This window comes from Homo sapiens, chromosome 5, assembly GCF_000001405.40.
Source record: "Homo sapiens chromosome 5, GRCh38.p14 Primary Assembly".
In the NCBI taxonomy this organism is placed as follows: domain Eukaryota; kingdom Metazoa; phylum Chordata; class Mammalia; order Primates; family Hominidae; genus Homo; species Homo sapiens.
Window position 1 is genome coordinate 71603278 of NC_000005.10, and position 15279 is coordinate 71618556.

Sequence of the window (15279 nt, forward strand, 5' to 3'; positions counted from 1 at the left end):
TGGTGGCAGGCAGCTGTAGTCCCAGCTACTTGGGAGGCTGAGGCAGGAGAATGGTGTGAACCTGGGAGGCGGAGCTTGCAGTGAGCTGAAATCGTGCCACTGTACTCCAGCCTGGGCGACAGAGAGAGAGACTGTCTCAAAAAAAAAAAAAAAAAAAAAAAATGGGCCTTTCCTGATACTGGGTTAGTCTGATAAAATTCCAACATACGTTGTTCATGTATGCAGGTATTTGAACGGGTACTGATGTAGAGGTATTTTTTGTTTTGTGTTTTTCTGTGAAGTTGAATTTACCTGATTAACTCACAATACGAACTGCTCTGCACGTAGAGAAAACAGCAAATGAGGCCCAGCTGCTTGTAGGTGCTGTGCTGGTCTTTATAGGGGATACAGTGAGGAGGATTTTGTTGTCTCTGTCTTCAGCGAGCTCATAATGAATTGGACACAGCATATAATGTGCAACCAACAAAAGACTTAATGGTTGCAGATTCTGAACTAAGTGCTTTCTATACATTTTTCAAGTCATCCTAATATATGATATGGCTCCTTTTTTTATCTTCATTTCGTGGGTAAGGAAACCGGGGCATAGGATGGCTAGGAAACACACCTATAATCACACAGCTGTGAAGTCATGAGCTCTGCTTTGAACGCAACTGACCTGTGTACCCACCACTCCAATCTGCAATGAAAACAGTATCAGAAGGCAATATGTATAAATTATTATATGAATTCTGTGGATGGCTTTTGTATTGGTTTAGAAGAAGGAAAGATACTTTTCCACCTTAACTCTTTAAGAATTTATGATGTTTCTGGGGCTTTAGCTGGTCCTCAAAGGAGAGAAGGTTCTAACCATTTCGAGAAGAATTTTGCACAGAGGTGGGAAAGCCTGATGGGTTTGGGGCAATGAATCCTTTTGGCTGCATTGGGGGTTTGGAGAACGAGGCTCTATAACAGTTTAGAAAGACAGGGCAAGTTTTTTGTGAATGTGATTAAGAACTGATGCTGTCATTGATACAAGTTTCCCTCTGCGTAGCACATTTAGTTCATAGAGATGCTTATGTTTCTCATTTCTTGTCTTCAGTTGATTCGGGAGGAGCATACTTACCTCGACAAGCAGATGTGTTTCCAGATCGAGACCACTTTGGCCGTACATTCTATAATCAGGCAATTATGTCTTCTAAAAATATTGCACAGGTAATTTTTCATGAATAAAGTGTACAGTGGTGCTTTTTACTCTTAAGTATCTTTACGAATTAGGTACTCTGGGATGGCTTGAAAGTAAAACAGAATTTAACACAAAATCTAATCTTTTTTTTTTTTTTATACTTTAGGTTTTAGGGTACATGTGCACATTGTGCAGGTTAGTTACATACGTACACATGTGCCATGCTGGTGCGCTGCACCCACTAAATCGTCATCTAGCATTAGGTATATCTCCCAATGCTATCCCTCCCCGCTCCCCCCACCCCACCACAGTCCCCAGAGTGTGATATTCCCCTTCCTGTGTCCATGTGATCTCATTGTTCAATTCCCACCTATGAGTGAGAATATGCGGTGTTTGGTTTTTTGTTCTTGCGATAGTTTACTGAGAATGATGATTTCCAATTTCATCCATGTCCCTACAAAGGACATGAACTCATCATTTTTTATGGCTGCATAGTATTCCATGGTGTATATGTGCCACATTTTCTTAATCCAGTCTATCATTTTTGGACATTTGGGTTGGTTCCAAGTCTTTGCTATTGTGAATAATGCCGCAATAAACATACGTGTGCATGTGTCTTTATAGCAGCATGATTTATAGTCCTTTGGGTATATACCCAGTAATGGGATGGCTAGGTCAAATGGTATTTCTAGTTCTAGATCCCTGAGGAATCGCCACACTGACTTCGACAATGGTTGAACTAGTTTACAGTCCCACCAACAGTGTAAAAGTGTTCCTATTTCTCCATATCCTCTCCAGCCCCTGTTGTTTCCTGACTTTTTAATGATTGCCATTCTAACTGGTGTGAGATGGTATCTCATTGTGGTTTTGATTTGCATTTCTCTGATGGCCAGTGATGACGAGCATTTTTTCATGTGTTTTTTGGCTGCATAAATGTCTTCTTCTGAGAAGTGTCTGTTCATGTCCTTCACCCACTTTTTGATGGGGTTGTTTGTTTTTTTCTTGTAAATTTGAGTTCATTGTAGATTCTGGATATTAGCCCTTTGTCAGATGAGTAGGTTGTGAAAATTTTCTCCCATTTTGTAGGTTGCCTGTTCACTCTGATGGTAGTTTCTTTTGCTGTGCAGAAGCTCTTTAGTTTAATTAGATCCCATTTGTCAATTTTGGCTTTTGTTGCCATTGCTTTTGGTGTTTCGGACATGAAGTCCTTGCCCATGCCTATGTCCTGAATGGTAATGCCTAGGTTTTCTTCTAGGGTTTTTATGGTTTTTGGTCTAATGTTTAAGTCTTTAATCCATCTTGAATTGATTTTTGTATAAGGTGTAAGGAAGGGATCCAGTTTCAGCTTTCTACATATGGCTAGCCAGTTTTCCCAACACCATTTATTAAATAGGGAATCCTTTCCCCATTGCTTGTTTTTCTCAGGTTTGTCAAAGATAAGATGTAGGTATGCGGCGTTATTTCTGAGGGCTCTGTTCTGTTCCATTGATCTATATCTCTGTTTTGGTACCAATACCATGCTGTTTTGGTTACTGTAGCCTTGTAGTACAGTTTGAAGTCAGGTAGTGTGATGCCTCCAGCTTTGTTCTTTTGGCTTAGGATTGCCTTGGCGATGTGGGCTCTTTTTTGGTTCCATGTGAACTTTAAAGTAGTTTTTTCCAATTCTGTGAAGAAAGTCTTTGGTAGCTTGATGGGGATGGCATTGAATCTGTAAATTACCTTGGGCAGTATGGCCATTTTCACGATATTGATTCTTCCTACCCATGAGCATGGAATGTTCTTCCATTTGTTTGTATCCTCTTTTATTTCCTTGAGCAGTGGTTTGTAGTTCTCCTTGAAGAGGTCCTTCACATCCCTTGTAAGTTGGATTCCTAGGTATTTTATTCTCTTTGAAGCAATTGTGAATGAGAGTTCACTCATGATTTGGCTCTCTGTTTGTCTGTTGTTGGTATTTAAGAATGCTTGTGATTTTTGTACATTGATTTTGTATCCTGAGACTTTGCTGAAGTTGCTTATCAGCTTGAGGAGATTTTGGGCTGAGACAATGGGGTTTTCTAGATATACAATCATGTCGTCTGCAAACAGGGACAATTTGACTTCCTCTTTTCCTAATTGAATACCCTTTATTTCCTTCTCCTGCCTAATTGCCCTGGCCAGAACTTCCAACACTATGTTGAATAGGAGTGGTGAGAGAGGGCATCCCTGTCTTGTGCCAGTTTTCAAAGGGAATGCTTCCAGTTTTTGCCCATTCAGTATGATATTGGCTGTGGGTTTGTCATAGATAGCTCTTATTATTTTGAAATACGTCCCATCAATACCTAATTTATTGAGAGTTTTTAGCATGAAGGGTTGTTGAATTTTGTCAAAGGCTTTTTCTGCATCTATTGAGATAATCATGTGGTTTTTGTCTTTGGCTCTGTTTATATGCTGGATTACATTTACTGATTTGCATATATTGAACCAGCCTTGCATCCCAGGGATGAAGCCCACTTGATCATGGTGGATAAGCTTTTTGATGTGCTGCTGGATGCGTTTTGCCAGTATTTTATTGAGGATTTTTGCATCAATGTTCATCAAGGATATTGGTCTAAAATTCTCTTTTTTGGTTGTGTCTCTGCCCGGCTTTGGTATCAGAATGATGCTGGCCTCATAAAATGAGTTAGGGAGGATTCCCTCTTTTTCTACTGATTGGAATAGTTTCAGAAGGAATGGTACCAGTTCCTTCTTGTACCTCTGGTAGAATTCGGCTGTGAATCCATCTGGTCCTGGACTCTTTTTGGTTGGTAAACTATTGATTATTGCCACAATTTCAGCTCCTGTTATTGGTCTATTCAGAGATTCAACTTCTTCCTGGTTTAGTCTTGGGAGAGTTTGTGTGTCGAGGAATTTATCCATTTCTTCTAGATTTTCTAGTTTATTTGCGTAGAGGTGTTTGTAGTATTCTCTGATGGTAGTTTGTATTTCTGTGGGATCGGTGGTGATATCCCCTTTATCATTTTTTATTGCGTCTATTTGATTCTTCTCTCTTTTTTTCTTTATTAGTCTTGCTAGCGGTCTATCAATTTTGTTGATCCTTTCAAAAAACCAGCTCCTGGATTCATTAATTTTTTGAAGGGTTTTTTGTGTCTCTATTTCCTTCAGTTCTGCTCTGATTTTAGTTATTTCTTGCCTTCTGCTAGCTTTTGAACGTGTTTGCTCTTGCTTTTCTAGTTCTTTTAATTGTGATGTTAGGGTGTCAATTTTGGATCTTTCCTGCTTTCTCTTGTGGGCATTTAGTGCTATAAATTTCCCTCTACACACTGTTTGAATGCGTCCCAGAGATTCTGGTATGTTGTGTCTTTGTTCTTGTTGGTTTCAAAGAACATCTTTATTTCTGCCTTCATTTCGTTATGTACCCAGTGGTCATTCAGGAGCAGGTTGTTCAGTTTCCATGTAGTTGAGCAGTTTTGAGTGAGATTCTTAATCCTGAGTTCTAGTTTGATTGCACTGTGGTCTGAGAGATAGTTTATTATAATCTCTGTTCTTTTACATTTGCTGAGGAGAGCTTTACTTCCAAGTATGTGGTCAATTTTGGAATAGGTGTGGTGTGGTGCTGAAAAAAATGTATATTCTGTTGATTTGGGGTGGAGAGTTCTGTAGATGTCTATTAGGTCCGCTTGGTGCAGAGCTGAGTTCAATTCCTGGGTATCCTTGTTGACTTTCTGTCTCGTTGATCTGTCTAATGTTGACAGTGGGGTGTTAAAGTCTCCCATTATTAATGTGTGGGAGTCTAAGTCTCTTTGTAGGTCACTCAGGACTTGCTTTATGACTCTGGGTGCTCCTGTATTGGGTGCATATATATTTAGGATAGTTAGCTCTTCTTGTTGAATTGATCCCTTTACCATTATGTAATGGCCTTCTTTGTCTCTTTTGATCTTTGTTGGTTTAAAGTCTGTTTTATCAGAGACTAGGATTGCAACCCCTGCCTTTTTTTGTTTTCCATTTGCTTGGTAGATCTTCCTCCATCCTTTTATTTTGAGCCTATGTGTGTCTCTGCACGTGAGATGGGTTTCCTGAATACAGCACACTGATGGGTCTTGACTCTTTATCCAGTTTGCCAGTCTGTGTCTTTTAATTGGAGCATTTAGTCCATTTACATTTAAAGTTAATATTGTTATGTGTGAATTTGATCCTGTCATTATGATGTTAGCTGGTGATTTTGCTTGCTAGTTGATGCAGTTTCTTCCTAGTCTTGAAGGTCTTTACATTTTGGCTTGATTTTTGCAGTGGCTGGTACCGGTTGTTCCTTTCCATGTTTAGCGCTTCCTTTTTTAGGGCAGGCCTGGTGGTGACAGAATCTCTCAGCATTTGCTTGTCTGTAAAGGATTTTATTTCTCCTTCACTTATGAAGCTTAGTTTGGCTGGATATGAAATTCTGGGTTGCAAATTCTTTTCTTTAAGAATGTTGAATATTGGCCCCTAGTCTCTTCTGGCTTGTAGGTTTCTGCCGAGAGATCCGCTGTTAGTCTGATGGGCTTCCCTTTGAGGGTAACCCGACCTTTCTCTCTGGCTGCCCTTAACATTTTTTCCTTCATTTCAACTTTGGTGAATCTGACAATTATGTGTCTTGGAGTTGCTCTTCTCGAGGAGTATCTTTGTGGTGTTCTGTGTATTTCCTGAATCTGAACGTTGGCCTGCCTTGCTAGATTGTGGAAGTTCTCCTGGATAATATCCTGCAGAGTGTTTTCCAACTTGGTTCCATTCTCCCCATCACTTTCAGGTACACCAATCAGACGTAGATTTGGTCTTTTCACATAGTCCCATATTTCTTGGAGGCTTTGCTCATTTCTTTTTATTCTTTTTTCTCTAAACTTCCCTTCTCGCTTCATTTCATTCATTTCATCTTCCATTGCTGATACCCTTTCTTACAGTTGATCGCTTCAGCTCCTGAGGCTTCTGCATTCTTCACGTAGTTCTCGAGCCTTGGTTTTCAGCTCCATCAGCTCCTTTAAGCACTTCTCTGTATTGGTTATTCTAGTTATACATTCTTCTAAATTTTTTTCAAAGTTTTCAACTTCTTTGCCTTTAGTTTGAATGTCCTCCCGTAGCTCAGAGTAATTTGATCGTCTGAAGCCTTCTTCTCTCAGCTCATCAAAGTCATTCCCCATCCAGCTTTGTTCCGTTGCTGGTGAGGAACTGCGTTCCTTTGGAGGAGGAGAGGTGCTCTGCGTTTTAGAGTTTCCAGTTTTTCTGTTCTGTTTTTTCCCCATCTTTGTGGTTTTATCTACTTTTGGTCTTTGATGATAGTGATGTACAGATGGGTTTTTGGTGTGGATGTCCTTTCTGTTTGTTAGTTTTCCTTCTAACAGACAGGACCCTCAGCTGCAGGTCTGTTGGAATACCCTGCCGTGTGAGATGTCAGTGTGCCCCTGCTGGGGGGTGCCTCCCAGTTAGGCTGCTCGGGGGTCAGGGGTCAGGGACCCACTTGAGGAGGCAGTCTGCCCGTTCTCAGATCTCCAGCTGTGTGCTGGGAGAACCACTGCTCTCTTCAAAGCTGTCAGACAGGGACATTTAAGTCTGCAGAGGTTACTGCTGTCTTTTTGTTTGTCTGTGCCCTGCCCCCAGAGGGGAGCCTACAGAGGCAGGCAGGCCTCCTTGAGCTGTGGTGGGCTCCACCCAGTTCGAGCTTCCTGGCTGCTTTGTTTACCTTAAGCAAGCCTGGGCAATGGCGAGCGCCCCTCCCCCAGCCTCGCTGCCGCCTTGCAGTTTGATCTCAGACTGCTGTGCTAGCAATCAGCGAGACTCCGTGGGCGTAGGACCCTCCGAGCCAGGTGCGGGATATAATCTCCTGGTGCGCCGTTTTTTAAGCTGGTCCGAAAAGCGCAATATTCGGGTGGGAGTGACCCGATTTTCCAGGTGCGTCCGTCACCCCTTTCTTTGACTCGGAAAGGGAACTCCCTGACCCCTTGCGCTTCCCAAGTGAGGCAATGCCTCGCCCTGCTTCGGCTCGCACACGGTGCGCGCACCCACTGACCTGCGCCCACTGTCTGGCACTCCTTAGTGAGATGAACCCAGTACCTCAGATGGAAATGCAGAAATCACCCGTCTTCTGCGTCGCTCACGCTGAGAGCTGTAGACCGGAGCTGTTCCTATTCGGCCATCTTGGCTCCTCCCCAAAATCTAATCTTTTTCCACAGAGAGTATCTAAAGGTTGTCTCCAATTAGAGCTTTTTATTAACTATAGGAATACTCCTATACTGTAATAAGATTATTAAAACAGGTTTTAGGCCAGGCGCGGTGGCTCACGCCTGGAATCCCAGCACTTTGGGAGGCCGAGGTGGGGGGATCACGAGGTCAGGAGATCGAGACTATCCTGGCTAACGCGGTGAAACCCCGTCTCTATTAAAAATACAAAAAATTAGCTGGGCGTGGTGGCACATGCCTGTAGTCCCAGCAACTTGGGAGACTGAGGCAGGAGAAATGCTTGAACCTGGGAGGCAGAGGTTGCAGTGAGCTGAGATCATGCCACTGCACTCCAGCCTGGCGACGAAGTGAGACTCCGTCTCAAACAAACAAAGAACAGGTTTTTAAAAGGAAAACAGGGTTTAAAAAGAAAGGGCTCCAGTAATTCCTTTTTTAGGGCTATACCCTAGGGAAACTCTGATATATGTATGAAGAGATACTTAGAAGAATAATTCATGGCCAGGCACTGTGACTTGTGCCTGAAATCCCAGCACTTTGGGAGGCTGAAGTGAGAGGATCACTTGAGTCCAGGAGTGAGAGACCAGCCTGGGCAACATAGGGAGACCCTGTCTCTACAAAAAAATAAAAAATTAGCCGAGTGTGGTGTGGCACATGCCTATGGTTCCAGCTTTCAGGAGGCTGAGGTAGGAGGATCACTTGAGCCTTGGAGTTTGAGGCTACAGCGAGCTGTGGTTGCACCACTGCACTCCAGCCTGAGAAACAGAATGAGACCCTGTCTCACAAAAGAAAAAGAAAAGAAAAGTTCATTATAGCATTGTTTGTTAGAGCAAAAGTTAGAGAATAACCTAACTGTTCATTCATGGGAGATTAATAATACAGTTTTTGTCTGTTAAAAGGAATGAACTAAAATTGCATCTGTCAATATAAGTCTCAAAAAGTAGATTGAGTAAAAAACATAGTAGAATCAATATATGGCTATTTACTATGTATGTAAAGGTTAAATACATCGAATCCTACTGTATATTATTTGTGTATAAACATGCACGTGGGAGCGATACACTCAGCTTTAGAACAGTGGTTGCCTCTGAGGTGGGAAGGAAGAGACAGGGATGAGGTAGGAGGTAGATAGGCGCTTCAACTATATCTCAAATACTTTATTCCTTTTTTTTTCTTTTTTTTTTTTTGAGATGGAGTCTTGCTCTGTTGCCCAGGCTGGAGTGCAGTGGTGCTACCTCGGCTCACTGCAAACTTTGCCTCCCGGGTTCACGCTATTCTCCTGCCTCAGCCTCCTGAGTAGCTGGGACTACAGGCGCCCACCACCATGCCCGGCTAATTTTTTGTATTTTTAGTAGAGACAGGGTTTCACCACATTAGCCAGGATGGTCTCGATCTCCTGACCTCGTGATCTGCCGACCTCGTGATCCGCCCGCCTCGGCCTCCCAAAGTGCTGGGATAACAGGCATGAGCCACCGCGCCTGGTCAAATACTTTATTCCTTAAAAAAATGATCTGAAGTAAATTTTGCTTAATGTCAAGGTTTATTAAGATTAGGTATTAGGCTAATGGATGTTTGTTATTCTGTAATTTTTTTTGCATGGTTGGAATATTTATAATACAGATGCTGCTATTGTGTTTTCATTTCTTTATTGGATTTAAGTTTGTCATATTTTTATTAATATTCTGATTAATCTATACTTGCAATTATTATATATCTTTTTGATTTTTCTATCAACATAGTTGGTTGTAATTGTTTATGGTATATTTTACTGTTACACAGTGACCATGCCTACCTATATGCTTTATTTATCTAAATAGAAACTTCGGCTTTGCTTACTTTTGCACAGATGGCCGTTGCATTATCTATATGAAATTCGTATTGTGGTCTCCATTTAATCTGGTATTATATTTTTTTCTTTTAGAGAAACAGGATCTTGCTATGTTGGCCAGGCTGGTCTCAAATTCTTGGCCTCAAGGATCCTTCTGCCTTAGCCTCCCAATGTGCTGGGATTACAGGCCTGAGCCAACATGCTGGGCCTGGTGTTACAATTTTTATAGCTTACCTTTTATTAGTTTCCTAGGGCTGTTGTAACAAATTATCACAAATTGAGTGGCTTAAAGCAACAGCAATTTATGTATTTATTTAGAGATGAATGTCTTGGTATGTTGCTCCAGCTGGTCTTGAACTCCTGGCCTCAGATCATCCTCCTACCTTTGCCTTGTGGGTAGCTGGGATTATAGGTGTGAGCCACAATGCTTGGCTAACAGAAATTTATTCTGTGAAGTTCTGGAAGCCATAACTCTGCAGTCAAGGCAGCAGCGGGGCTGTGCTTCCAGGGGACATTCTGTTCCTTTCCTAGCCTCTTCCAGCTCCTGGTGGCTCCAGGTATTCCCCTGGCTTATGGCTACCTCCCTCCCATGTCTGCCTCCATCTTCACGTGACCTTCTCTGGGTATCTGGGTCTTCTCCTTCTCTATCTTATAAGAACACTTGTCACTGGATTTAGGGACCACCCAGGTAATCCACAAGATTCTTAATTATATCTGCAAAGATTCCTTTTTCAAATGAGACCATCTTTACAGATTCTGGTGATTAGGATATGGCTATATCTTTTTATCTTTTGTTGGGGGAGGCTACTATTTAAGCACTATAGCCCTCTATCATCTAACATGTTCTTTGCTGTGTCTTTCTGCTGCCAGGTGGAGTCTCTATTCCTGTGGAACTTTGAAGTTTAAAGTGCTTTAAAATCAGATCTTTTAAAAATCAAAAGTGTACTTACTTCTTGGAATAAGCAATACCTGCTTATGATAAAAAACTCAAAATGTCTGAAGGGCATTTGACTGAATGACTGTCTTCCTTTTACTTATTTTATTTTTGTTTTTTAAAAAATATTAGGGCTGGGCGTGGTGGCTCATGCCTGTAATCCCAGTACTTTGAGAGGCCAAGGCAGGAGGATTGCCTGAGCCCAGGTGAGACCAGCCTGGGCACACACCTGTGGTCCTAGCTGTTTGGGAGGCTGAAGCAGAAGGATTACTTGAGCCCAGGAGGTTGAAGCTTCAGTGAGCCATGATTGTACCACTGCACTTCAGCCTGAGTGACAGAATGAGACACTGTCTCAAGAAAATATACATATATTTATAATATATAATATATCAGAGAAGGAAGGTGGAGTAAGTACTAGTGTTTTCAGTATGAAGAAAAGTGCTCACACATAGCCGGACATCTTCAGTGCAGATTTCAGGTTTAGGGCTCATATATTCAGGAAGGGGTCAGAAAAGATACTATGGAGACTCAATATATGATAACAGAAATTTCTTTTTAAATTCCAAGAGGTTCATATTATATATCTAATTCATATTATATAGTTCATATTATATATATATGGTTCATATTATGTATAACGTATATAATACACACACACACACACACACATATATCAGTATTTCTTTGAGCTACTTCTCTTAGCCTTTATTTTTTTCTATTTCCCTTAAATAGGAAAGGAGGTTTAGGGTTAAGGTTTGCCTTCTCATATTTTAATGAACCGTATTTTTAAGTTTCCATAGTATCTGTTCTGAGCCTTTCCTGAATATATGAGCCTAAACCTGATATCTGCACTGAAGATGTCAGGCTATGTTTCTCCTCTTCTCAAAACCTAAACCCGTCATTTATGATTTTAATACTAACCTCTCCTTTTTGCTTCATCATTTATTCCCTTTCTCTTACTCTAATTAATTTTCTTGGGCAAGGCACGGTGGTCCACACCTCTAATCCTAGCACTTTGGGAGGCTAAGGTGGGAGATTGCTTGAGGCCAGGAGTTTAAGATCTAACGTGGCCAGCATAGTGAGACCCCATCTCTCTCTCTCTCTTTTTTTTTTTTTTTGAGATGGAGTCCTGCTCTTGTCCCCAGGCTGGAGTGCAGTGGCGTGCAATATTGGCTTACTGCAACCTCCGCCTTCCAGGCTCAAGGGATTCTTCTGCCTCAGCCTCCCGAGTAGCTGGGACTATAGGCACATGCCATCATGCCCAGCTAATTTTTGTATTTTTAGTAGAGACGGGGTTTTACTATGTTGCCCAGGCTGGTCTCGAACTCCTGAGGTCAAGTGATCTGCCCGCATTGGTCTCCCAAAGTGCTGGGATTACAGGTATGAGCCACTGTGCCCAGCCCAGACCCCATCTTTTAAAAATGAAAAAATTTTTTATCTGCTTATTTTTCTTCTCACACCCCAAAATCACGTTGATACCTTTTCTTTAAAGGAAACAAAAAAAGAACACTAAAATGATGCCAAAAGATAAAGACCTTTTCTAGCTTCTGCTGTTTTTGAAGCTTTTCTCCCTACCTGGGTGGCTACATTTTTTTCCCCCTTTGAGATGGAGTCTCACTGTGTCATCCAGGTTGGAGTGCAGTGGCACGATCTCGGCTCACTGCAACCTCCACCTCCTGGGTTCAAGCAATTCTCCTGCCTCAGCCTCCCTAGTAGCAGGGACTACAGGCATGCACCACCATGCCTGACTAACTTTTTTGTATTTTTAATAGAGATGAGGTTTCCATATGTTGGCCAGGCTGGCCTTGAACTCCTGACCTAAGGTGACCCACCCACCTCGACCTCCCAGAGTGCTAGGATTATAGGCGTGAGCCACCGCGCCCAGCCAACATTCTTAAGGATTGGCACATTGTCTTCATTCTAACTGCTCACTCCTTCAAACCTCCATGCCCTACGAGAGTTTCACCAGCCTAGAGACCAGATTCCCACTCTGCACAGCCTCTTGGTATCATCATTTTTTTCCTTTTCGTGAAATTCTCCTTATGCTTCATGCCACTGGGGTGCCCTTATTTATTTATTTATTTTAACGATTTAGCCAGATCTCATTACCTGTCATCTCCCTGATCTTTATCTAGTCTTGACCACCTCTACATCTCTACTTTTGAACCTCGGGGGTTCTGCTTTCTCAGTCAATTTCCTGCTGGTACCTTAGTATGAAATAATAAGAAATATACACATTGATCTCTGTCCCCAGTTCCAGGAACAGAGCTCCTAAAATCCTCATAAGTTTCTGAGCAGTAGGGGCACTAGGAGGCTCTTTTGTTCCAATATTTGGTGTCTGCCCCAGTTCCTCCGACAGAGTTCCTAATACCCTTGTAGATAGGGGTACTAGAAGAATCTTTTGTTCTATGATTTGGTCTTTGACCCCCATTCTTGTCACAGAGCTCCAAAATCCCTTGGAATTTCCTGGGTGATAGGAGCATCTTTTATTCTGATGAGGCGACTCTTAGTGGGCTCCTGGATGGTGCTGGTCACCAGAAAGACCAAGCCATGACCATAAACTTGGAGCTTTCAGTCCCAGCCCTATCCTTCAGGGAGGGAGAGGGGCTGGGGATTGAGTTAATAATTGACCATGCCTCTGTGATGAAGCCTCCATAAAAATCCCTAAATGGTGTTCAGAGAGCATCTGTGCTGGCAAACTCATCCAAGTGCTAGGAAGGTGGTGCATTCCCACTCCGCGGGGACAGAAGCTCCAGCCCTCAGGACCTTTGCAGACTCGCCTTATGTATCTTTTCATCTGGCTGTTCATCTGTATCCTTTATGATATCCTTCCTAACCAGTAAATGTAAGTAAAGTGTTTCCCTGAGTTCTGTGGGCCACTCTTGTAAATTAGTCAAACCCAAGGATGGGTAGTGGCAGCCCTGATTTACAGTCAATCAGAAATATAGGTGACAACCTGCTCCTTGTGGATTGGCATCTGAAGTGAGGGCCATCTTGTAGGACTGAGCCCTTAGTCTGTGGGATCTGATGCTGTCTCTAGGTAGACTGTAAGAACTGAATTGGATTAGAGGACAGCTGGTGTCTGCTGGAGAACTGCTTGGTGTGTGGAGAAATACCCCCACATATCTGGTGTCAGAGGTATTGAGTGACTGTGTCAGACAGTAGGAAAAACACTTTTTCCTCTGTCTTTTCAGACTTAGGTTCAAACTAGACATTGAACACATTAACTTCCCCTACTCATTTGTTCCCTCACCTGAGTTCCCATCTACTGCTAGCACTACCTTGCTCTTTCCCTAGGACTTGATGTCATCCTTGGCTCTTTTCTCTGCATTTTCCCTTACTTAATCCTTTTAGGTCAAAAATATACATCTTTGACATTTTTGTATCCCTGGCAGTTGCTCTGATGCCGGGCACAAAGTGAACACATCCTAAGCCTTTGCCTAATATATTGATGAGTCCTGTTGGTTTCACCCTTGGGCAGTTCCTCTCCACTCTGTTCCTACTATCACCCCCAGAGGCAGCTCAGGCCTTTGTTACCACTAGACTGTGGCTCTAGCCTCACCTGCCTGGTGTCCCTGTCTGCCTAGTCTATCCTTTCCCATACAGTGGACACATGCTGCAAGGTTATTCTTTATGTGGCCCTCCTGTTACTATTTGCTACAAAACAAAGCTCATACTTCTTAGCCCGATACTTAAGCCCCCGTGTGATCGGATTTCAACCTAACTTTCTAGCCTTATTGCTCCTGGACCCTAAACTGCAGTCAACCTGATGCAGTCACTGGTCTCCATATATACCATAGCCTTTTTTGACCATCTGCTCAGGCCCATGCTGGTCCTCTTTCCCCTCATCCTCCTGGGTCGGAGTCTCCAACCCATCTTCCAAGACACATCTCAAATGCCACCCTTTTAAGGAAATCCCGGAATCCTTTACTGGAAGTAATATTTTCTTCCTCCTAGCTCCCATAGTTCTTGTACTGTGCCTTACTAATAGCATTTATCCCTTTAATCTAGATATATCTGGACTAATTTCCTCTACTAGTCTGTTAGCTACTTGAGAATAGGGACAATTTAGATGAATTTTTATATCCTCACACATTTCCCTGAGATGGTACTTACTTAATATTTATTAAAAGATAAATCTCCTTATAACTATTAAAGTTGTAATATGATAGATATTGAGTGGTTCTGTTTCCTAAGTTTAATGTTTGTTTTGTTGTTTATTTAAGACTTTGGTTTAGACAGACTGATAAAACAATTCCTTATGTTTATTATATAAGTTAATCACTTCTAACTTCAATTATGTTATGTATTTATTTCGATAGTAAGCACCAGCTTCCTTACTCAAATTTAGTTGTTTTTCTCTCCAAGGTTGGTTTTTATTTAATGTTACTAGCCTTGCCCATTGTAAATTCATTTACCTAGTTATTTCAAAGAGTATGTCTATTGGCAATCATACCCGTATCGTTTTCTGTATCTTTGCTGCTATAAAAATGTGGACAGATTACTATAGACCTTCCAGGTTTCAACATTTTCTTTTGCTCTCAAGGAGAAAAGATAGTTAAACTAGGTACTTACTTTTATGTTCTCTTCTGTTTCATCTTTCCTTCATGGCAGATTTTAAGACCCCTTAATCGTTTCTGGAGTTTAAAGAGTTGATGTGTGGGTGTCTGGTGGTCTTTCTTTGAGTCTCATGTCATGAGAATGCCTTCTCTGGGCCTTCTCCATATCTGAGGCCTGATGACATGATGATCTTTGCAATGTTCTTCTTTTATTTTCCCAGTGGTGCAGTTTAAATGTGTCCCCCAAAAGTTTATGTGTTGGAAATGTGATTGCCATTGTGGTGATGTTAAATGGTGGCACCTTTGGGAGGTAATTAGGTCATGAGAGCTCTGCCCTCATGGATGGATTAATGCTATCATTGTGGGAGTTTGGCCTTCGTTTGCTCTCTGTCTCACACACACTTGCCCTCTCTTGCCCTCCCACCTTCTGCTGTTCCACCATGGGATGACTGTCAGATGCCAGTGCCATGCTCTTGGATTTCCCAGCTTCCAGAACCGTGAAAAGTAAATTTCTTTTTTAAATTCTTTCTTTCTTTCCTTCTTTCCTTCTTCCTTCCTTCCTTCCTTCCTTCCTTCCTTCCTTCCTTCCTTCCTTCCTTCCTTCCTTCCTTTCTTT

The 15279-nt window shown here is 42.1% G+C and overlaps 1 protein-coding gene across 7 annotated transcripts in view; it reads left to right on the forward strand.

The window, feature by feature from the left end:
* Nucleotides 1-15279, forward strand: part of MCCC2 (methylcrotonyl-CoA carboxylase subunit 2) — a 71367-nt gene that overhangs the window by 15938 nt on the left and 40150 nt on the right. For all 7 annotated transcript variants that reach the window (NM_022132.5, NM_001363147.1, XM_017009688.2 and 4 more), the window contains exon 6: nt 1079-1191. In NM_022132.5, the coding sequence (NP_071415.1) occupies nt 1079-1191 (113 nt within the window). The remainder of the gene's footprint in view (nt 1-1078; nt 1192-15279) is intronic.